At 38.3% G+C, this 25,061-nt stretch overlaps 1 protein-coding gene across 3 annotated transcripts in view, besides 1 other annotated feature; it reads right to left on the reverse strand.

Annotated features, from left to right (window-relative positions):
• Positions 1-25,061, reverse strand: part of C1orf87 (chromosome 1 open reading frame 87) — an 83,377-nt gene that overhangs the window by 44,158 nt on the left and 14,158 nt on the right. The window contains exons 1-5 of one of the 3 annotated variants that reach the window (XM_017000307.2): positions 21,568-21,593; positions 20,653-20,887; positions 6,440-6,580; positions 5,366-5,629; positions 3,441-3,556 (exon numbers count right to left, since the gene is read on the reverse strand). In XM_017000307.2, the coding sequence (XP_016855796.1) occupies positions 3,441-3,556; positions 5,366-5,629; positions 6,440-6,580; positions 20,653-20,850 (719 nt within the window). In that variant the 5' untranslated portion in view covers positions 20,851-20,887; positions 21,568-21,593. Of the gene's footprint in view, positions 1-2,581; positions 2,930-3,440; positions 3,557-5,365; positions 5,630-6,439; positions 6,581-20,652; positions 20,888-21,567; positions 21,594-25,061 lie in introns of those variants that run through there. The other 2 variants (XM_017000308.2, NM_152377.3) reach the window with 2 other exon arrangements.
• Positions 5,187-6,386: an enhancer, noted in NCBI's record as "BRD4-independent group 4 enhancer chr1:60505410-60506609 (GRCh37/hg19 assembly coordinates)". NCBI's record gives its function as "activates an origin of replication core promoter dependent on BRD2, P300/CBP, MED14 and CDK7 cofactors, and independent of BRD4, by STARR-seq in HCT116 cells {active_cell/tissue: HCT116}" and the evidence as "EXISTENCE:reporter gene assay evidence [ECO:0000049][PMID:35650434]".

The raw sequence follows: 25,061 nt of genomic DNA on the forward strand, positions 1-25,061 counted from the left end.
AAGCCCTAATTTGCTGCATTACTGATTTCCCTGGTGTAAATACCCCCACCATGGGTGATTTCAGGCTACCACTGTGACATTGCTGAATGAGGAGTTGGGAAGAGGTGTGCATCATTGGCCCTCATGTCTGGCTCCTGCACACCCCTGATTTATATACTTATTCATAGTGCTTTGTTCTTTTCCTTAATAGGTCTCCTCCAACTTGCAGTCACATCTCTATTTCCTTATTTTTTCAAGTCTGACTTCCTCCCTGGTAGTCTGCTCTAAGAGGTCAAGTCTGTTTTGTTCCTTACTGTTTCCCAGGGATCTTGTACAGTACCTGGAACTGATTCATTTTAGATGTATATAACTTTGTCCAAAGGTGATATTATTTCCTTTTTTTTTTTTGGCTCTAGGACTCTCACACAAGTTTTGGCTCCAAATTATACTATTCTGAACTACTTAATAATATATAATATTTTCCAAAAGTTTGGTACAGAGAAGGAATAGTGGGCACGTGCATTTATTTTGGTCACCAACTTTTGCATGTGCCTTCACCTGTCCAGGGAGTTCCCCAGCTCATGAGACAGTCCACCTCTCACTGTGGCAGAGGAGAATGCCAACTATTTGCTTTACCAGCCTCTCTTTGCTGCAAGGGCACATGACCCAAACACTGTCAATCAGACATCTCTGTTCCAGATCTGAATCATAAGTCTTCCTTCCTCTTTTCTTGCAAGGACAGTTTCTGGGGATAAGAATTCATGAAGCTTTGGTCCCTGGCTCCGTACACTGAGTACTGGATGGGCAGGTGTTGTATGGAACCCATTTACTGCAGCTGGTAGGGCTTCTTAGAAGGCCTGTTGCAGAATTTTAGTTCATCTGGTCCAGTTTAGGAGATGAGAGCTGTTGCCACCCCTACTGCCACTGGCAATGCTGGAACCTTTTAAAACATCACAGAGCTACCCTATTAGAGGATCTACCTGACAGAGCATGAGAAGAGGATTTTCCTGATCCATACCTTAATTAACAAATAGCCTGGCTTTATTACAGGCCATCAGTCCTGTATTTCTACAAACATACTGTCTGGTTTTTAGAAAGCAGCACCTTCTCTGATGAGCTCAAAATGATTTCTTCATGTGCCTTTTCTATAGAACAGATATTCATGTATCCCTGAAAGTAAATTGATGTGAGCACTTTAGAAAATTGGAGGTGCCAATTACATTCAACAAATATTATTGAGCATCTTCTGTATGCCAGGAACTATGTTAGAACTATGCTAGACACAGAGTTGGCCAGGACAGCCACAATTCCTAACCTCAAATGTCAAATAAATAACAGAAAATGCCATAACCGCTATGAAGGGGAAGGACTATGGAACTAACAACACAGAGATCTAACCTTATCTAGGTATCAGCAAAGGCTTTCTGTCTAGGACTCATAAGACCTTACACGCCAGGGATTGGCCTTGTTTTCTACCGCATGGTCTATGACCTCTCAGGGTCAAAATTTTACAGTATGTATTATATGAAGGATAGTTGCTGTTGGTTAAAAATTTCTAGGGCTTTATGGCTCTCAGTAAGACAGTTGCTCCCAGAGTGATATTTGACTGGAATGCCTAGATGGCAGTATTGTTTTCTTTGGACCATGAGCCCTAAAGGAAGAGACTAGGCTTTGTCAATCTGGAATTCACTGTGCCCAGCAAAGTAAGCCTGACAAACAGCTCACATTCAATAAGTGTTGAAGTTATCACAGTGAAACAGGGCACACTGTAGGAAGGAATCAAGTCCAACTGTTGGCCCAAGGACATTTTCAAACAAACAAACAAACAAACAAACAAAAAATGCTACCTTCTTCCTAGAGTAAAACACTTAACTCTAATGCCATAGCTCTTAACCACCATGCCACATTATTTGCAGCTGAAAGGAGTGTCCTCTAGAAGAATAGTTAAAAATAATAAAAACACTTACATAGTACTTACTATGTACCAGGCACTGATTTTTGGAACTTTGCATTTATTAACTCAGTTACTATTACAAATCAGTGAAGTGAAGTGTATCATGCCCATTTTACAGTTGGAGAATGGAACCACAGAGAAGTTAAGTGAAATGCCAAGGTCACATAGCCCCAGAGTGGCAAAGACAATAGTTGAGGCCAGGCTTTTGCAATGGAGGCTATGCTCCTAACCACTGCAATTTGTCACCTTTTTTGGCAAACATGAAAATATTATACTTTATTGCGTTTCATTTCTGATTATATTCCTCACATCTTATTTTTATTTTGAGTAATTTCTCTCCCTTGAGATTATATGAAGTGACTATGGATGCCTGAATCTCAAACCTTTTTTTGCTAGTGCCTGCGACTCAGGAGCTGACTGACTGAACATCTTTTTGGAATCACACTTTATAGATGAGCTCTGCACCCGTACACAATCATTTCTTATTTCATAATGAGGTTTTTCATTTTCACACAGCAACCTCATAAAAAGACACATGCTTGATGTTAAAAAACATATGCAATTGCTGCAAATAACTTTCTATGTTGGCCTGCGCACAAAAAAGAGAGAGAGAGAAAACTCTGAGCACAAGCCAAGTGCTGGTGAAGAGCAAAGTGATTCTGCATCGGGTGAGGTGTTTGAGTGAATGCCTTCAAGATCCCTGCCAGCTCTAGGAGTCTATGCCATGGACTGACTGCATCCCCTCAAAGTTCCTGTGTTGAAACCCTAATGCCAACGTGATAACATCAGAAGGCTGGGCCTGTGGGATTTGGTCACGAGGGTGGAGTCCTCATGAGTGCAATTAGTGCCTGTCTAAGTCTATTTTGGGCTGCTATAATAGAATATCTGAGATTGGGTCATTTATAAAGAACAGATATTTTATTTCTTCAGTTCACAGGGGTGAGAAGTGCAAGGTCAGTGGCAGGCATCTTGAAAGGGCCTTCTTGCTGCATCATTCTGTGGTGGAAGGCAGAAGGGCAAGAGGAGGCAAGGGTGAGAGATAAACCCGCTTTTTACAGCAAATCCACTCTCTTGGTAACGAACTCACTCCTGAGATAATGACATTAATGCGTTCAAGAAGGCAGAGCCCTATGACCTCATCGCCTCCTATTAGGTCCCATCTCCCAGGGCTGTTGTTGCATTAGGGATTAAGCTTCCAACACATGAACTTTGGGAAACACATTCAAACCATACCAATACCTTTGTAAGGAGAGGCCAGCAAGCCAGCTTGCTCTCTTTCTGCCATGTGGGGATACAGGGAGAAGTCAGCAGTGTGCATCCTGGAAGAACCCTCCCAGAACTCAACCATGCTGGTGCCCTGATCTTAGACTTTCAGCCTTCGCTTCAGCACTGTGATTCATACATTTATATTCTTTATAAGCCACCCAGTTTATGGTACTTTTTTATAGCAGCCCACACAGACTAAGACACCTAGGAACAATACCCTCACAAAAAGGGAGAAGAGTACCTTTGGCTATGAGTGCCATGACTCTCAGTTTTTCTCAGGTCTGCAGCTGCTTTATTTTGCTGTGGATAATCTGATGCTGCACTGTTTAAAAACCAGAGTAGCTTTTCATAATTCACCTGAAAATTAAATGTAAAATAGAACATCCTCATTTAATTTATATGTAAGGAAAGAGGCCTGTTGAGATAAAATGTATTTGGCAAATTTTTACCATCAAACATTTAAAAAAACACTTAAAAATATAGTATCATAATTATTGGTGCTTTTTAGCAAGTATTCTTATTATTTTCCCTTCTGGACAAATGGTAAAATTGTACTTCCTGGTTGTCTTCTGGTTGGGTAAGGCCATGTGACTAGTTCTGGCCAATGAGTTATAACCAGAACCGAGACCCTGTGAGCTAACATGAGACCCTCCAGGACTCTTTTTCCCCTTCTGCTATCCTGTCCAAAAATATCCTAAAGTGGCTATTTCATCATCCTGGGTCCCAGAGCTAAAATGACAACAGTGTTAAGAAGAACTATGGCTGGCTCTATGGAAATAAACATGAAAAAAAATAACTTTTTGTGGCTTTAAGCCACAAAGATTTTGGGGTTATTACTATAGTACAACCTAACCTCTAGCCTCTCTCTCTCTCCCCACCGCTGCCCCCACTCTCTCTCTTGTTCCTTCTCACATATCTTATACATTTATTATATATGATGTATTCAGCAGATATATTTAGATAGATTGAGCAGATATATTCAGATAATCTGAAGACAAAAATTTATTAGGCCAAGTGAAAAATCTGAAGACCTTTTTTCTGCATAGGAAAGGACTGAAGGAATGTCATCCATTTCCACTGCTAAGCTGGATGCCATCCTAGGGACTCTGGTGGACAGACAGCTCCAGGGTAGCAGAGTGGTGAGCAGTGGGAGAGGGAAGCTAGATAGGGCCCCTGATAGAAACTAGGTCTCAGGCCAGAAAATTTGGTTGAACTGAATATTCATATGGGTTGCAGTAATAAATCAATATTGTATTGCTAAATACTTCTCATAAATATATAACTAATTCTATTAGTTTGCATTTATCACATTACTAAATCCTGAGACTAAACTTGCAAGGTTGGTTTTGGCCTGGTTTTCTGGATGAGATCATTGAGGCATGGGAGGACTTAAGTAGAGTATGCTCCATGTCACAGAACTAAGATGGTGGGATTAAGATTAAAGTCCAGGCCTTCTTTTTTAAGGTTTGTGCTGTCTATTGCTTTGCTATTGATACATGCTCACTAATGATATTCTTATTGCTATTATTTCTTCCTATTTCAGGGTATTTTCCTCTGGCTCCCTGAATTTAGTGACACTTGGACTACTCTTTATATTCAGACATAGGTATGAGCTTGGAAAATACAATGCCCAAAGAACTCTGGCCCTGTCATTGGGAAATTTGTGTCTTAGCATGGTGTCTGCCATTAATTCTCTGAGTCTCCTAAACAAGTTATTGGACATCCTCTGGGCCTCATTTCCTTAATCAGTAAATTTCAAAGATACTTCCCACTTCTAACTCTCTAGGAAGTTGTGATGACACAAAGCAGATCTTAGCTCAGTCTCAATTCTTACCTTGGGTCCTGCAGACTAAGCTAGCTCATGAATGGACTTGCGTGGGCCCATTTTCTTGAATCTGTAACTACCCTAACATTGTTAAAAGCTGACAATGCAAGTTGGGGCAGGGAGGACCTTTAAAGAGAAATGAAACAGAGCGAAGAGACCTAACTCTATTTTCTATTCGAACTAGAAATTTCTACACATGAATATAAATAAGCTTTTTATCTCAGTAGTCAGGGATAAAAGTTATTTGCAAGAAAGTAGCTAACTTCTTAGTCTTTTACCCTTGTGGGTACAAGTTAAGGAAACAAAAGGAACCCACACTTCCAATAGTACAATTGCCATACCATTTCAGGAGAACCCCTCTTAGAAAATCTCTGACAAAGGATTTTAACTGTTGGTAACTGTAGAGGGACTTCATGCTTCAAAAAGAGGCGGCTCAGCTGAGATTGGAGAAGAAATCCTGAAGAGATTGGGTCCAGGATCTTCAGCTCTTTCTGAAGCTTTTCTAATAAGTTGGAACTCAAAGGACGTGACTTGAGTTCTCTTCTGACCAGGGCAAGAAGAAAAGCGTCTTCATTTGTTGTCCCACTTGGGCTCTGGCCAATATCCTAACACAACAATGAAAAACAAAGAGCAAGACTCTTCAATCAGCCGGCTAAAGACCAAAGCAAGGAAGCAGAGGCACACTGGGGCTGGTATCTGAGTGTCCACTCGCAGTCCTGGCCTGGAGCAGGACAAGTCTGTGGCACTGAAGGTGAGCATTCAATCTGGTGTATTCATTATTTACAATGCATCAGCTCTCTTCCTTCAGGAGAAGAAAGCAAATCCTAGAGTACATGGTCTGGTAGAAGATGCTTTAACATACATCATTTGCCTTTTACAAAATAACTGCTTTGATGGTATAAGAATTTAGAATAACACATTTTGGAGACCCATTGCAGCTGGGAGTTTAGCATGGGGGATGCAAATCAAGGATGGTGTCTAGACCCTGACTGAGTTAACTGGGAGCATAATGGCCCTTCCTGAGCTCAGCAATCCTAGAAAAGGAGGAAGGTGCGAGGAGCATGAGGAGTTCGGTTGAAATTTTTAAGGTTTGTCTGTGAACTCCTCAGGACACTTTCTGGAAAGCTGACTGGATAAACGAAGTCTGGTGTCCATTTGTCTATTCTCAGACTGTCTTTAATTTTTTTTTTTTTTTTTTGTAGAGATGGGGTCTCACTATGTTGTCCAGGCTGGTCTCAAACTTCTGGCTTCAAGTGATCCTCCCAGCTTGGCTTCTCAAAGTGCTGGCATTACAGGTGTAAGCCACTATGACCAGCCCTCAGACCAACTTATCTTCTGCTCCACATCAAGAAATTGAGTCAACAACACTCCTTCATCTACAATAGACACAACTCAACAACTCTTAGTATACACACCTCAGGTTGGTCAGAGCTGCCTCTCACCATCTGTTCCAAGGACCAGTCTCTAAGCTTTCTCCTGGGAATGCCATGCACATAGGATAAGGACTGGTCTCCGGTTGGTACAGAGCTGCAGTGGACATTTGCTTGACTGGGAATCTTAACAGAACAAGGACAAAGGGAAGCAAGGAGCAGAAGAGGAGGTAGGGAAGAGAAAGAGGAAAGAATGGAGAAAATGAGTAAACCAACCAATTTATTTAAGCACATTCCCAGTTCTAAATGAACTTTAGCCCATGTATCATTGAGTCATTGAATCGTCGTGAAGAAATGTTGCCTTCATACCAATTTCAGCATTATACGCTTGACACATGTTAGATAAATATATTCACACTTAGGTATGTCTCATTTGGGCAAGAAAGTGTGACAGGCAAAAAATAATAGGTAGAGCATAAGGTGTTTATAGGCAAATGTGGGGTTCTTATTAGAGATAAGGGTATCATTAGGCTGTTTTAATTAGCAGGTTCAGGAAGGGCAGCAAAGGTAATTGTTAACTTTGACAAGAGATTAAAAAGCTCAGAATATTATACTCTAGGAGTAATGTCACTAAAAGTTACAATAGCATAAATGATAGAATTAGGATCAATAATAAAACCCTGTTCTCTCTTGCCATGGAGCATGGTATATTAATTGTGTTTTTAAATTATTCATATTTTATGGTATTTTGACATCTTAAGAAGGTAGGCCTTGCTGGCTGGGGGGACTGCCCCTCCCAGGACTAGCTAATTCCTAGAGATGGCAAACAACTGGCCTGCTAATACATCTTTCATATGCAAACCAGTCCTGAGTTCAAACCCCCAGATACCTCCTTTATTTAACTCTCACACAGCAAGCCTTTTTTTCTCCTGCCTTAAATAAATCCAAGACTAGGCTCCAGACAACTAGGGATAGTCACTATGCCCCAAAGCCTGGGGGAATTATTCCAACTAGCTAGTCCTAAGCTGTTTGTTCTGCCCTGCCTTGCCTTTCCCACCTAAACCCCAGAGAAAGGCTGTGGCTTGCGCTTTTCTCTCCTTGCTCCTCCTTCTTCCTTCTTGAGGTCCTCAAGTAGCCCGATGTGGTGTGGAATCCCTGCTTCTCTTGGGAAATGAAAGCAATTAACTCTTTTTTCAAAGGCAATTGTCTCCAAGTATGGTATCTTACCATATCTGATTAAAACAAAAACTTGGCACAAATCAAGACACATGGTTATTTTATTTATTTTATTTATTTATTTATTTTTGAGACGGAGTCTTGTTTTTTTTACCCGGGCTGGAGTGCAGTGGCAAGATCTCGGCTCACTGCAACCTCTGCCTCCCGGGTTCAAGTGATTCTCCTGCCTCAGCCTCTGGACACATCGTTATTTTTAATACCAGGTAATAGAAGGGCGACATGATCAGAAGGATTCTCTATAAACTACTAAATTGACAGTCATGTTGAATAACCTATCAGTATGAATAGCAACCTACAGATGTTTTATAGTCATGAACATTTTAAGGAAAAACCAAGACGCTCTCTAGAGTGAGCAGAGTGGGCAAGAATGACAGAGAGTTCTGAATAGGCATAAAAATCACAAGAGTTATTTATTTGGCTCATACTCTGTACAAGGCACCACATGGGTGTCCTGCTCATGTCATTATTTAAATCCTTACACAACAATACAAGGTAGGTAGTACTAGCAACCTTTTACATTTGGAAAGCCAAGGCTTGCAGAAGTTAAATAACTTTATTCCTTCATTTAAAAAACATTTATGGTTGTCTAGTTTGGGCCAGGCACTGTCATAAGCCCTACAGTGATAAAAACAGACTCAGCCCCTGCTCTCACAGAGTTTGCTGATGGTGGGAGGCATAGCAAGTAACCATGACAATAGAAAAGGGATTCTAAGGGCCACTCTCAGAATTGTCCATGGTCCACCTGATCTGGACTTGGTGGTCCGGGTCTGAAGGGAATGGCATCTAAATCTAGGCTTGCAACATAAGTCAGATTTGGATTTGGATAGGCTAACAAGTGGAGAGGGAGGAGGAGAGGACAAGAGGATTACAGGAAGAGTGAACTGGATATAGAAAACCTCAAAGGTGCATGCATGCATGTAAGAGACAGATGATGCTTTCAGAGCATAGTTTAACTTTTGGAAAAGGCAAAAGATAAGCCTGGAGAGAGAGAGGCAGGAGAAAGGCAATGAATTACCTTTAGCCTTGTTAGCATCTACGCTTTATTCTGAGGGCAGTGGGAGCCATAAAAATGTTATTAGTAGAGCAATGACTAGAGCAGACTTGTCCAAAACACTCCCTAGTAAATTGTGCAGATATTTGAATCCTGCTTTTCCCAATTACACTAGGATGAGGGAGATTCACTGTTCAGTCCACAGAGCAATTTCACTCTTTTTTTTTTGAGACCGAGTCTCACTCTGTTGCCAGGCTGGAGTACAGTGGCGCGATCTCGGCTCACTGCAACTTCCGCCTTCTGGGTTCAAGAGATTTTCCTGCTTCTGCCTCCAGAGTAGCCGGAACTACAGGCGGATGCCACCATGCCCAGCTAAATTTTTTTTTGTATTTTTAGTAGAGATGGGATTTCACCACGTTGGCCAGGATGGTCTCGATCTCTTGACCTCTGATCCTCCCGCCTTGGCCTCCCAAAGTGCTGGGATTATAGGCCTGGCCAATTTCACTCTTTAAAATATTTGGCTAGGTATTTCAGACATATTGTTCACAGGACAATATGTTTCTTTGCAAATTATTTGCAATATAAAATATTTCCATTTTCAGCCACACACAATTTTTTTTTTTGCCTCTGAGAATTTATGTGTTTCTATGATAGTGTTTTAAAGAAATGTTATCAATACTTTATCATTCCATGAGTCAAGGTATCTTTCAGTTGCTTTTGTTTTCATTTAAACATGAAAATGTATTAAGTGCCTTTATCCTTGACACTACAGATACAAATGAACAAGGCAGGTGTGACTCCTGTCCTCATAGTTCTTTGGGCCTAGACATCACAGGCTGAGTCTTTTTGTTTGTTTGTTTTCTGTTTGTTTGTTTGAGACGGAGTCTCGCTCTGTTGTCCAGGCTGGAGTGCAGTGGCGTGATCTCGGCTCACTGCAAGCTCTGCCTCCCAGATTCACACCATTCTCTTGCCTCAGCCTCCCGAGTAGCTGGGACTACAGGCGCCCGCCACCATGCCCGGCTAATTTTTTTGTATTTTTAGTAGAGACGGGGTTTCACCGTGTTAGCCAGGATGGTCTCGAACTCCTGACCTCGTGATCTGCCCGCCTCGGCCTCCCAAAGCGCTGGGATTACAGGCGTGAGCCACCACGCCCAGCCACAGACTAAGTTTTCTGGCTTCAACTATGGAAAGAGGAAAATACACTGTACTCCCTGGAATGCTGTGAAGAATGAGTGTTATGTATTTTAAATATTTTATACATTCTAAAACCTTATGATATATTTATTTGTTGTATTTTGTGTATCTCCCTCCAATAATATGATCTCCATGTGGGCCAGGACTCTGTCTTGTGCCTGGCTGACACCCCCCCACATCAAGAAGAGCCCTGAATCTGCTGACAAACTAGAGCAACAGCATGGGAGAATGGGGAGGAGCTCTTGGTGCCTGGGTTCAGGCCAGCTGCAGGCTGGGCTTCAGATTTCTCCCTTGCTGATTTAAGTCACCTGGGGCTGTCATTTTTCCAAAGTGAAGAGTGTTCCCCACGTGTCAAAAAAGATAAAATGAGAAATTTTATCAAGATTCCCCAGGTTTCTGACCTTGGGATTTGTCAGAGCACCTATGAAGTCTCTAATACCATAGGTTTCTCTCATTTAGTTTACTTTGAATAACAAAATACCGCTTGGGGACCAACACCATAGCCTGAAGTGACTTCAATCAATCCTAGTTGTGTGATGTTTGCCTAAAAGAACTGGTACAAATGAAGCACAAAAATCTAACACAGATTTACTGACTCTTCTGGGGGTGTTGGAACTTGCAAGAGTTGGAAATGTAAACAAGTCTTTTAAAGGTTGCTTATAAATAAAACTATTTTTGAGTGTGTGTAGAGTCATCCACACTCTCTTTCAAGACAAGTGAACACAACAAATCATCTTAACATTATGCAATGGATAGCTGTGGTTTGGGAGAAAATTTCCAGAGATAGCATTAAATGCAGATGTGAAAAGTTCTGTTTCTTAAACAATTTAGACCAAGGTACTGGGGTGTTCTAGAAAGCTGTTAAATGGCTCAAAAATGGGCAGTAGTGATAATGAGGACAGCCATGAGAAACATTAAGTAAAAAGTTGTATACTTTTTTTTTAAGAAATGTAGACTTAGAAAAAAATGTATTTCCAAATTAATATTATATGTAATATGTGATTTTAAATGTGCTTTAAACAAATTAATACAATACATATTGATATTAATCATTTGACTATTTTACTCATATTTGCAACAATGTATACTTTGTTTACATTTTAAAACTTTTAATTTTGGAAACTTCAAAAACAGGCACATGTGGAGATAATAGCATGATGAAACTCCCTGTGCTCATCACCAGGCTTCAGTGATCAACTGACAATCTTATTTTATTTATCCCCACATTACCCTCCACCAGAGATGAAGTGAGCCCAGACAGTGTGTTATTTCATCCACATTATTTCAGCATATGTCTGTAAAGCAGTGGTTCTTAAAGTGTAGTCTTTGGGCCAGAAGCCTCAGCTTCCTCTGGGAGTCTGTGAGAAATGAGAATTATTGAGACCCACGCCAGACCCACTAAATAGAAATTTGTGGGATGGGGCCCAGGAATCTGTGTTTGAATAAGTCCTCCAGTAATTCTGACGCACGCTGAAGTTTGAGAACCACTGCCCCAAGAATGAGGACTCTTTTTAAATACACAATAACATTATAACACTTAAAAATTCCTTATTATTAACAGTAATTCCTCGATATCTTCAAATGTCTCATCAGTGTTTAAAATCCCCCTGTTGTCTGGTAAATCTTATTTTCATAGTTTGTATATTCAAAATATGAACCATATATTGCAATAGGTTAATATCTCTTACACCTTTTAAAATTCCTTCCTTCCTTCCTTCCTGCTTTTCTCTCTTTTTTCCTCCTTTCCTCTTTTCCTTACATCTTTTAAAATTCCTTCCTTCCTTCTTTCCTTCCTCTCCTTGCTTCTTTCCTTCCTTCCTTCCTTCTTTCCTTCTCCTTCCCCTTCTCCTCCTCCTCCTCCCCCTCCCCTTCCTTCCTTCCTTCCCTTCCTTTCTTTCTTTCTCTTTCTCTCCTTCTTTCTTTCTCTCTCTCTCTCCCTCCCTCCCCTACCCTCCCTCCCTCTCTCCCTCCTTCCTTCCTTTCTTCCTTTCCTTTCATTCTTTCTCTTTTTCTTTCTTTCTTTCTCTCTCCCTCCCTTCCTCCCCTCCCTCCCTTCCTCCTTCCTTCCTTCTTCTTCTTTTTTTTTTTTTTTTAATTTTTTCTGTTACCCAGGCTAGCGTGCAGAGTAGCACAGCCATTATTCACCACAGCCTGGCCTGAACTCCTAGACTCAAGCAATCCCCTGTCTCAGCCTCCCAAGTAGTTAGGACTAGAGGTGCACACCACCACACCCAGCTAACTTTTTGTTTTTTGTAGAGATAGGTTCTTGCTAGGTTACCCAGAGTGGCCTTGAACTCCTGACCTAAAGCAATCCTCCTACCTTGACCCCCTCAAAGTGTTGGGACTACAGGCATGAGCCACTGCATCCAGGCTTACATATTTTTAAAATGTCTAGTCTTCCCACTCTGCCCCTTTCATCATTATTTTTTCTTGCAATTGTTGAAGAAGCTGTGTTGTCTGAACTGTAGAGTTTTACACAGTCTGCATTTTCTGGCACCCCTATGCTGTTTTTAAAAAGTATCATTTATTTCTTGTAAAATAGTAGTTAAATCTAAAGTCTTATTCATGTTCAAGATCAATTTTATTTGAGAAGACACTTTTGTAGGTGGTATATTTTCCTATGGAAGCAAATGCTATCTAATTGCCTTTTTTTGGATCATAATTACAGGCAGTCATATGCATTGCTTAATTCCTTTCGTTTTCATTAGGGCTTTGCAAAATGGTGAAATTCTTATCCCACCATTCTTCATTTATTAACAGAAATAGTTCTTTAAAGGGAAACGTCCCTTCATCAACTATTACTTCAGATACAGTTTGCATAGAAAATGGCCAAATGAATAAATGCTTGGTTGTTTTATTTACTGTTTTTTTTCAAATAAATAGTTTGTTCCCTAGCATTCTTCAGAGATAACCAATGAGTTTTTGTTTTTTAAAATAATCATTATGAATATATACATTTAAACATATTTAATGTGTTTCAATCTATTGCAATTATTATTTTTATTGATGCCCAAATTATGTCGCTTTCAACTGTGGGAAACTCTTTAAGTTAGATCCTGAGTCTTTTTTGACCAGTCTTAGGAAGGCTTTGTATCTTCATTGCTTTCGTTATAAGTGGATATTCCAGGCTCAAAGGTGGAATCAGCTCTTGGAATTTTCCTGAACATAATGCAGATGCAAGGCTACTCATTGCTTCGGGCCTAGTCATTGTTTCTAAATTTTTCCAATGGACAGAACTGGGAAATACATTTTTAAAAAGAGTTCATACTGATTTTTCATTTCAAATGTAGGACCATAGGGGTTTTATGTAATTTTATTAATACTCTACCTATATTTTATTTCTTCTATACCCCAAATAGCAAGTCCAAAAAAAAAAAAGAGAAAACCATCAGGATAGTGACTCACTTGCTTTATCACATAAAATATACACACAGAGAATAACAGTATCAACATAATGGTCATTAAAAACATTTAAATATTTTTTTCAAGAAATATTTTCTTTACAGTAAATATTCCACTAGGGATATGCAATGAAGTCACTGTGTTTTAAAATCATTTACAATTGTTTCATTCTGTTTAATTTTACTGCCAATTAATATATAGTTAGGTTCATGTGGTCACTCATTTTCAAGGTGGCCCCAGTGATCCCTGCTTCCTGGTTTCATGGCCTTATGTAGTCTCCTTCATCCCCTCAACATTTAATTAAGATTGGTCTATGTGACCAGTGGAATACTGTGGAAGTGATGGTACGTCACTTCTGAGATTAGGTTATAAAAGATATTGCAGCTTCCAATTTGATTGTGTACAATCAATCTCTCTCGGATCACTCATTTTGTGAGAAGCCAGCCATGTCATGCACACCCCTAGAGAGAAGCCCAAATGAGGAAAACTGAGACCTGTGGACACAGCCAGGAGGCCTCTGTCAATAGCCACATGAGTGAGCTTGGAAGTAGATCCTCTAGTTCTGATCAAGCTTTCAGATAACTGCATCTCTGGGTGAAATCTGGGGTGAAATTTTGCAAGACTTTGAACCAAAATCTCTCATCTAAGCCACTCCTAGATTCCTTTCCCTGAGAAACAGTAGCAGGTAATACATGTTTATTGATTTGAGTGACTAAGTTTTAGGGCAATTTGTTGTATACCAAAAGATAAGAAAACCAGATTTATTTTATTTTGTTTTTGATTTTTACAAATTGATTTTCTTAACATATAATTTTACTTTATAATTCTGTAGTGTAAAACATTTGCGTGGTTGCAAAGCCAAACCTACAAAACAAGACATTCAGAGAAGTATGGTTTCTATTTTTTATCCATTCATCATGTTCCATCTATCCCCAAGACATAACCACTTTTTAATAATGTTCTTAATTAATTCCTTCATTTTAAAAAACATAAGGGATATGTACATAATAGATATATATATAGATAGATACCTGGTAGAATAATCTATATATATTTTTCTACCTCACTTTTATTCAATTAATAATGTATCTTGTTATATTACTCCACATAATAATATATAATAATACTCATATATACACAAATTCTACATTTCTTTTTACAATTTCATAGTACTCCATGTATGGATGTACCTTAGTTTATTCAAACAGTTCATTGTCTATGGAAATTTAGGTTGTTTATAATTTTTTGGTGTAACAGGTAATGTTGGAATGTATATCTTCTGCATAAATCTTTTAATATTATATTTTTCAAGTACATCTTTGGGATAGATTTCTCAAAGTGAGATTTTCTTATAAAAAAATGTAGATGTAGTTCTGCTAATTACTGTCAATTTTTCTTCCAAAGCAGTTTTTCCATTTAAATTTTTTTCTATCATTGTAGCAGTGTATCTGTTTCCCCATAGCCTTCCAACAAAGTATATTATCAATATTATGGATTTTGCCAAATTATGTTATCAATTTCCTGGATTTTGCTAATGAGAAATTATATCTCAGGGCAGAATTAATTTACATTCTACTTATTAAAAGCAAGTCCACATCTTTTGATATATTTAAGGAACATTTACATTTGTTTTTCTGTGAACTGCCTGTTCATGTATTTTGCCCATTTTTCTAATAGTATAACCCTTTTTCTTCTCTATTTTAAGTAGAATATTCTATAGATGAGAGATATATTTGTCAGTGATGCAAGTTGCAGATTTTCCTCCTACTTTGTCAGGTGTTTATATGCTTTGCTTACAGGTGTCTGGCCCTTATGGTGAAAATAATCACTCCTTCAGTGAAAAGTATCATTTTCCTCATTGTATCTGCATTTTGAGTCACAGTTAAGAAAGTTTCCCCTTATCCCAGATGATAGAAGAAATCACTCATGTTTACTTGTACTATTTGTATATGTTTATTTCTTTACACTTAAACCTTTGATGTATTTGGAATATATCCTAATGTACATCTTACGTATGTATGGTATATGAGGAATAGACCCAACTTAAAACTTCTCTATAGCTATCCAATAATGTGTCACTGATTAAAATGTCCATCTGTTTCTTATTAATTTTCAATGTCACCTTTATCATATACAAAATAACAATATGCCAGTGGGTTTATTTCTGAATTTTTCTTTTCAATTTCATTGGTCTTTCATGTATTCATGTGCCAAAACCACACTATTTTAAATATAGAGACTTTTTGTTTTAATATCTGGTAATGGTATCTTACCCATTATTCATAGTGCTGCTCTCCTTTTCAGGGTTTTCTTGACTATTCATGCTTGTTTGTTATTCCAAATTAACTTGCTAATCAATTTGGCTAGTTGTAAAACAAAACAAAATAAAAACCGAACACTATTTTTTTGTTGGAATCCCAACAAATTTATAAATTACCCTAGGGAGGATTGACGTTTTGATGATGTTAACATTTTATGTACAAGAAAACAGCATGCCTTTCCATTTGTTCAAATCTACCCTTGTATCTTTCTGGAGTGCTTTATATTTTGTTCTCATACAGGTTTGGACATTTCTTGTTAAGTTTATGTCTTGGCATTTGATTTATTTATTTAGTTAATTTACTTCTACATTTATTTGCTATAGTAAATGGTGCCTTTTCCTCCATTTTATCTTCTAACTCATTTTTGTTGACATATATGAAGGCCATTGATTTGTGTTATTGATTTTATAACTATCTAGTTTGCCAAATTCTCTTGATTGTTGGTAGTTTTTTCATTAACTGTCTTGAGATTTTAGATGTACAATCTTATACTCTGAAAATAGTTTTACCTCTTCTTTTCTAAGTAATATGCCTGTACTTTCTTTCTCTTATGTAATTGCATTGGCAAATATCTCCAGGATAACATTAAAAGCCAGCGGAGACAGTGGGCACTCTTAACTTCTTCCAAACTGAAATGAGAAAGTTTCTAGTGTTTTCCCATTAAATTAGATGTTGGCTTTGAGCCAATATACAGAGAAAGACATTTGGAAATGAAAATGAACAAGCAACAATTCTTATTCTCAGTGGTCTTATAGACTTGTGGAAGGAGACAGATAAGGAAACAGTTTATTTTAATAGTATGGCAACATCTACTGTAGAAGTGTGCACAGATTCACTTGGAAATACATTAGGAAAGGCGTTTACCTCAGTCTTGGAAATCAGACGATAATGCTTCTTGATAGAGCTGCTATCTAAGTTGGGACACTTATATGGTTAGAAGTTAATCAAATAAAGATGGAGGGAAGAGAATTTTACCCATAAAGAATAGCATGGGCAAAGGATTTGAGGTGAAAGGGAACAGAACTCTATTTATGGAAAAGAATTTCAGTTTAGTGAGATGTGGGGATGAAAGTGAAATAGAGAATAGACAGAGTTGAGCTAGAATGCTAAGTCAAGGAGTTTAAATTTTATACCAGGGAATTGGGATTTAACAAGGGAATTTAAGTGTTTTAAGCAGAGGCTATATCTGATCAAGTGGTTCCTCCTAAAAGAGATAGCATATATATCCCTGCCCCATTCATGTTGTGCTTGGCCATGTGGTTTGCTTTGGCTAATGGGATGTTAGTGGATATGACACAAGCAAAAAGCAAAGACTTAAAATGCACTTGTGTAATTGAGTTTGTTCTCTTAAAATGTTTCCATCAGTATGAGAAGGACATGCCTTGAAGAGCTCGCTGGATTCAGAACAAGAAAACACAGAGCAGACCTGAATCAAATCCACTTTAGAGCCAAGCCCAGCCCAACCCAATTGAGATAAATAAAAGCTGCCTAAGCTCATATCTGTAGATGTGAGCATAAATGATTATTGTTATAAACCACTGAGTTGTGGGGTGATTTGTTACGCAGCAGTATTTATCACAATAGCTGACCAATACAGAGAGAGAGCTTTAAAGTCAGAAAAGTCAGTTTGAAGATGATTAAAATCTCCCTGGTGAGACAAAATGGTGGTCTGATTAAGGTGATGACAAGGAAAATAAAAGAAAGATAAGGTTTTGAGAGACACGAAGGAGGTAGAATTTAACGGAATCTGTGATTGGTTGGATGTCAGGGTTAGGGAGAGACAGGAGGAAAGTATGTTCAGGTTTCTTGCTGGTGCAATTGAGAGAGGGGTGAGACCATTCTGTGAGACACAGACCACCAGAAGTACAAGATCAAAGGCTCTGCCTTGAACTTTCTAAATCTGAGCTGCAAATGCACAGCCAAGTAGAAATGTCCTTGACATCTGTCTATTCATCTATAAAATAAAGATAACATCATGTGCCTTTACCTACCTTGCAAGGCTATTGTGGAGAAGGAACAAGGGAAAACACACAAAAGGGCTTTGAAAAGAAACCTTCCCAATAAACTGTGATAATTATTAAAATTAAAGCACTAACACTTTCATTTTCATGCTGCCAGATGCAAAAAGCACACTACAATTTTATTTTTGAAACTGTGCTACTGAGTTTGTTGCTAGTCACACATTCTTTTTTATTCTTCTGAGAGAAGGCAGAGCTGATAATTCTGAGAAATGATATAAACAATATGTATTTTTTCAAAAACATACGCATATAAAGCAGAATTTGGAGGCAAAAAGATCCTAGGACTAGGAGTCAGAAGAGCCAAGCTCTTTTCCTGTGAGACCTTGGAGCATTTAAGCTCTCTGGTCCTCTCATTCTTCCTTTGTGAAAGGAAGGTTTGTACTTGTTTATTTGTAAGATATCTCACTGTTCTTATATACACAAAATGAGGGATTCTCTTAACATCTTCAGTTTTACTTACTTCCTACCAATGAGACTCTTCGAACTTACTCTGTGATTTGGAAAAGAGTTTCACACTTGCTCGTCCTCAAGCATGTTAGCTCAGTCTTTATCAGCAACTTCTCTTTTGGAGCAAATTCAGCTGGTCCAGATTGCCTGTTACGTCCCAGGCAGGAAAGCTTATTTTCATCTATGTGTGAGTGATAAGGATCTAGAAAGAGTTCTGATTGGTGTGCTTTTGTAACTGCGGCAGGATTCCATTTACCACTTAGTCAAGCTGGTAATGAGGGTCTCTGTACCAGGCAACTGTGGCTGCCATCTGGCGGGCCAGCACCACACGCCCGCCCGGCAGACAGAACCAATTAGTCGGTCCCCACACCTCCCACAAGGCCTTCCTTGTTTGGTGGCAGAGTGTTAGCCCCCGCTGAGCCTCCCACTAGAAACCCTGTTGAGTTCTGGGAGGGGAGGGGCAAATTTTCTCCCTGTACTGCCGAGCTAGCAAATAATCCAGATCATGGAGGTTAAGAACAGCTTACCTAATGAACATGCTACCTATGGTAATGGCGAATGCAGAGTCCATGACAGGAATGAGCAGTTTGATGTATTAGGAGGAGTGTCAAGAAACAGATGTCTATATATAAGAGAAAAACTAGAAATGGCTTAAGTGCCCATAAGGCGTTTGTTAAGTGAACTGTGTTATATCTCTATAAAGGAATGTATACAGTTTGGTGACTAAGGACCTAGAACCTGGGCTTGAATTGTGGGTCTGCCACTTCTCAGCTCTATGACTTTAGCAAGGCCCTTGACCTCTCTGTTTCTCAGCTCCCTTAAACATGAACTAAAGATAATAGGAGTTCCTACCTCGCCGGGTGCTTGGGAATAGTAAATTAGTTAATATCTGTAAAGAGCTCAGAATACTGCCTGGCACATAGTAAATGCTATCCATCTAAGTGTTAGTTCTGAGTACAACTCTCACAGAACCATTAAAGATGATGCGTAGGATGATTTTTTTCATGCCAAGGGGAGAATTTTTGATATGATATGAAGTGAATCAAGCAGGATAATAAAGAGTATATATAATGATTCTTATTCTATATCTATGTATGAAGGAAAAAAGAGGAAGAAAGGAAAAGAAAACCACTAGTTTTCTTTAGTTGATATTTTTCTTCTTATTTATATTCTCCTGTTTTTCAAAAATTGCTACATCGTTATGCTATTTTTATAATTAGAAAGCTCAATAAAAATTTAAGTAAAGAAAAAAAAGAAAACCTAGACAAACATCTTATCTACACACTTATGAGTCACTTTATCCTTTCTGAGTGTTAGTTTTATCATCTATGCCATGGTGGTAGAAATAACAATGGTATCTACCTCACAGGGTTAATTTCAAAGAGTAAATAATAAAATTTACCTCGAAGCAATCAGTCAATAATAACGTCTTTTATAACCATAATATTATTACCAAGGCCATTCTTTGGGAGCAAAAACAACAAATATATTAATGCCAGAATCTAAATTAGGTTAAAACATTCAGATAAAAATTCACATTTGATCATTCAAATGGATTATATCACCTCTGCAGATTCACTATCTTTTGCTGTAACCAAGGCCTAAATTCAAGGATTCAGCCAAACTGGAGACTAAGAGGCTTGAGTGACAGCTCAATCTGTGTCACTCATGTTTTGGGAAAGTCACTTTCATTTCTGGTCTTCAGTGTTCAACTAGACCTTGCAGAGTATAGCCTGAGGTCCATAGATAGGCTGTTAACCACTCCAAAATTTGATCCTTTGCATGGTTCTTATGAGCAGAAGATCACAAATCCATAGGCATTCATTTTCTCATATGACTAAAGACTAGCTAGCAGCTCAGTGATTTAGAAAGGGCTATTAAAATTACAAACTAAAAATAGTTATGTTAGAGTGTACTGCAGAATCTAATTCAGTATTTTACTAAAATATCTGGCTGTCACTTAATGCTTGGCAGCATTGCAAAACTCCTACTCTATGTATCTGTTTAATTGCAATTTCAGCAATTTTGGAAATGGTACTTTGTTATCAATGAATCATTAGTTTTGTCTTGATTTAGATCCAGTTTTCAATTGCTGCTTTACTTGCTTTTTAATTACAAACTACTAATCATATAGATTCATCATCATCAAGTTAGTTTGTTATGAATTGTTTGGTTGATTGTTAACAGAGTGCAGTGGTATATATTTCTATCAACAGAGTTTGGGGCCTATAATTTTTTTTTGTAATTAGACATGGTTGCATTGTATTTTTAAAATAAATTATTTCTTTTTGTAATGTAAAAGCAGACAGACTCTTACCCTCCAACACGCCCCAACTTTGCATGTATAGTAACAACACTGAGTATCACTGAGCTAACCACAGGCAGAATAGGTTGACCAACTCCATTGGTTGTCATGACCAACTTCTTTGGTGATCATGACCAACTCCGTTGGTGGTCAGCAAAGATACAATATACAAAATGACCCTGAAGTTCATTTTCAGATTGAAAAAAATTGATTCTTACTTCTATCTCATGCAAAATATATTAATGAACATTTGTACAGTGTGTTTTTGTGTGAACCTATGTTTTTATCTATATTTTCCTAATAAATTATCAAGATAAACGTGGGTATTTTTTGTCACTCACATTGCCATCCAGGAATCTGCTACTGTTTGCCCCTGTTAGTAGTTTCTGGTTGTTTTCTGATTTCTGGTTGTTCTCTGGGTGCTTTTTCTCTTTCACATCATCTGGATTATCAGTGGTTTGCTGATCAGTGAAGTTAATGGGAACTGGGGTGTCTCTGCTCATCTGCCTTGCATTATCAGTCATTGGTTTCTGGTGCATTGTTTGGGTTTCTGTTTTCAAGCTGTCATTCTCCTTGCTGTGAAGAAAGAATTGTATACTTTGTTACTTACAGGCAGACTCCTCATACACTAGGCTGGCATAAGAACAGAAGGTGTGTTTGGTGTTGTGAACAGTAGAAACTCAGCACAGTGGAATGTGGAAGCATAAACATTGGTTATTTGTCTATGCATCATTGACCATAGAGAGAACATGTTATTAATATTATCTTTGCAGGCTTTATCTTTTTCCTTACCCTCTTCCTCATACTCATAATCTATCCATCTGCTCCCAAACCCTTACTGTAAGCAATGGCCAGTATGAAAAATGAACCCTAAAGGTTATCACATTTCTTACTTGTAAATGTAACAGGTATTTTCAGCCTTAGAAAAGAAAGTCAAAACAGTTTGTCAGCTCCAGTTCTGCTCTATGCCTCTCCCCTTGAGACTTCCTTTTCTCCTGGGAGCCTTTCATTTAAGTTTAATATTAGAGAAAAGAAAAAAAAAACTGTAGGATGATTCAAGGAAATTCAAATAACAAACAAAATTAAAGGTTCAACTTTGTTTAACAACTAAAAGTCCTCACACCTGTAATCCCAGCACTTTGGGAGGCTGAGGCGGGTGGATCATGAGGTCAGGAGTTTGAGACCAACCTGGCCAATACGGTGAAACCCCGTCTCTACTAAAAATACAAAAATCAGCCGGGCGTGGTGGCACACACCTGTAGTCCCAGCTACTTGGGAGGCTGAGGCAGAAGAATCGCTTGAACCCAGGAGGTGGAGGTTGCAGTGAGCCGAGATCGCACCACTAGACTCCAGCCTGGGTGACACGTCTCTAAAAAAATAAAAAATAAAAAAATAATGGAAAGTCTTACAAATCAAAACAGTAACAAGGTACCATTTTAAACATAGAAGACAGATATAATTCTTACAGTGGGTGACCTGACAAAACATTAGGAGTCAAGAAGCTGAAACTCTGACATTGTAGAACAATGTTAAAGCATGTGTATTAAGGAGAAAAATGCAAAAAAAAAGAAAACTCTAAATATTTAGTAATAGGTGGATGCATTGACTATTTCATTCTTTGCTTGTGATAAAGGGTATGAAGTCATTAAAATAGTTATGAATAATTTAATGATACAAGTAAATGTCCACTTATAAAAGTAAGTGAATATATGATTGTCTCAACTGTGTAAAAGGCATGTATATAACGTGTGTGCCTATTCCATGTAGCAAACAATGTGCCAGAAGTTAACAGTATCTCCGGGTGGTAGAACTTAGCGTATTACATTACACTCTATTACACTATATCATGTCAGATTATACTTCATAGTATTATTGTTCTAAATTTTCTACATAGGAAAATACTATTCTATAATCTGAAAAAATAAGTTTCAAAGTAGCTATGCCTTGTACCTACATGGCATTCTATAAATTCTAGCTGTTATTTATAGATACAGTGGAAAAGATCCATTTACAAGCATATCATGTTATCTAAATATAACATCCATTGATTTAAATAATACTTGTTGAACTCCAATACTTGTTGATTTGAATAAGACCAAACCATGGGCAATAATTTGAATATATGTATATTTTTATAGTCATCCTTTTGGTGGTGGTAGCACAAGAAGAAAAGAAGGCCTAGGAAAAAACTCTGATGGATACTACATTTAAAGAGGAAAGATGAGCCTTAAAAAGAGCTTTAAAAAAATTCCCGGTAAAGTAGAAGGGAAATCAGGAGACTAGAAGGAAGACTTCGTAGAAAAGCAAGAGGATGTCTCCAGAGAGAGGACAACAGTATTAAATGCTGCTGAGAAAGGAAATTTCTGAAAAGGGTCCATTGGGTTAGCCATGAAGATGTAGTCAGGAATCTTGGTATAGGGAGTTGCAATGAGGTAATGTAGGTGGATGCTAGACTGAAGTGGATTGAAGAAAGAAGGGGGACAAGCAATGTAGACAGGAAGTATAAAGACCTGTCTGAAGAAGTTTGGCTGCAAGAAGGGAGAAAGATGGGGTGATGATTGATGTGGAATATAGGGTTTCAGATAAGACTTTGTTATCATGTTCAAAGATGTTAGGGAGTTTAGCCTGTTGAAATGCCAATGGTGAATAGCCAGTTGAACTGCAGAAAAGGAGAGGATATCATTGATGATATAAGATGAACCTTGACAAAGGGAAATGGAAGTCATTGAGAGGACAGACACAGAAGGGAAACCTCAGGGTTAAGGTTGTAGAAAAATAGGTAAGGATGTAGGCAAATTAGTACATTTGATGACAAGATGTTGATCAAATTGCTGACAGCTTGAATTTTCTCTGATAACAAGGTATGGTTACCTTGGGTCTCATCGGGGAAATGATGGGGTAGAAAGTCTGAATTAAGGGCAGATGGTTTGGGACAGCTGCTATGAAGAGTGGAAGAGGGGTGATCAGAAAAATAAGACAGGTTGGCTGGGCCAACTGAGTGGCCAGTTAAGGTTAAAGACCATTGATTTTTGTGAAATCAATTTGAGAGCGTGAATGGCACTTCACCCAGTAGTCCTCACAGACATGCAGAGAAGGCAGACAGTGAGGCTCACACAGAACTGGGGCTTTGCCAGACAAACACACTCAAATGATAATAGTGCAAGACAGGAGTATGAGAAGGAGAGTGTATATTTGACAAATAGTTTTTTGCAATGAGAGAAGACATATATGTTCCCTGCCTTCAAGAAATTTAAATTTCATTTGGTTGTCCAAAAATAATGCAAACAATAAAGCTAACAACTGGTAAAACTATATTGTAGAAATCAGGGTAGTGATTACCTTTGAGGGGAGATGTATAGCCCAGAAGAAAGCATAACGGGGTTTCTGGGATGCTGGTACTATTTTGTTTCTTGATCTGGGTGTTTATTGCATGAGTATATCACATTTGTGAGAATTCAGTGAGTGGTAGACTTATGATGTATACTTTTATGTAAATATAGGTATGTTGTATCTCTATAAAGTATTAAATTGGTATAAAATTTACATAAGTTATATGAAACATACCCAGTTAGCATATAAATAAATGCCAAATGAACATTACAAAGATTCAGTACTATTTGAAGTTCATAAGAAACAGAAATAACTATGGTTTGCAATGTTTACATAAATAATATTATTGCTGAACATTTAACATGACAGCCACGCTATACTTATTTATATACATTAGATTATATATTTCTTAAATCAACCGTATAGTCAGGTGTTCCTATTATTATTATTTTAGAATGAAGAAATTAAGGCCAGGAAAGTTGATGTGATTGGCCTAACTCTATTTACATGGCTTTTCAGTAGTGGAGCCAGGATTTAAACCTGTCTACTTCATTGCACAGACTCAGATCCTATTGGCAGTAGAGTCAGAGGAAGGTCCATGGAAGTTTGGGATTATGTGAGGAGCTGAAAGTACAGGAGCAGGTAACCAAAGTAGGAAGTGCAGGATTTGAAGGCAAAAATGGTCTTTTGGCAGGGAGTTAACTCTTTTGGATAAAGGCAGGGACAATGGATTATCTTTGCTTTAATCACCTTTGAAATCCTTTTGTGGGCAGTGTCAGGACAGAATTGCTTGAGAAATGTAAAATGTATCTGCCTGTCTTTTAAAACAGTCCCTGTAGATGTAAAACCAAAAATAACCTGTTAAATCTGTTTCAAGTAAAAGCTGTATTTAAAAAAAAATACATAGCGCTTTGAAAATTATCAAGAAAATGACTCTCTAGCTGAGAAACGGCATGTGTCTGTGGTTAGCACAAACAATTTGTCAACACGCATTGGTTGTTATGTTGTTCACAAACTCACAGTTCTTCCTCCTAGGCTTGTGTACCATCTACCTACATTACTGAAAATAGACATTTGCCATTTCAAAAGAAGGGGGGAAAAACGCCATCAATACTATCTTGGAAGCAAGACACAGCTAGCTTCCGCATATGTACTTCTGACCTCAGCTGCTGCTCTGGGGGTGCCGTGAAGAGTTTAGTGTCATCCAGGAATGAGAGCAATTAGAGAGGATTACTGTGTTCCTGGATGATAAATAAATGAGGAGAAAACTGTCCAGTCGTTCCCTCTCTCACCGGGCTCTTTCTGCAAACCAGCCCATTAGAGTCACCCTCCATTAGAGCACAGAGTCTCAGGGTTAGAAAGAAACATTGCAAAGGCGTCTAGTAGCATCCTCTGCCCAAAGCAAGGTAGGGATCCCCCG

This window comes from Homo sapiens, chromosome 1 (genome assembly GCF_000001405.40).
Source record: "Homo sapiens chromosome 1, GRCh38.p14 Primary Assembly".
Classification (NCBI taxonomy): domain Eukaryota; kingdom Metazoa; phylum Chordata; class Mammalia; order Primates; family Hominidae; genus Homo; species Homo sapiens.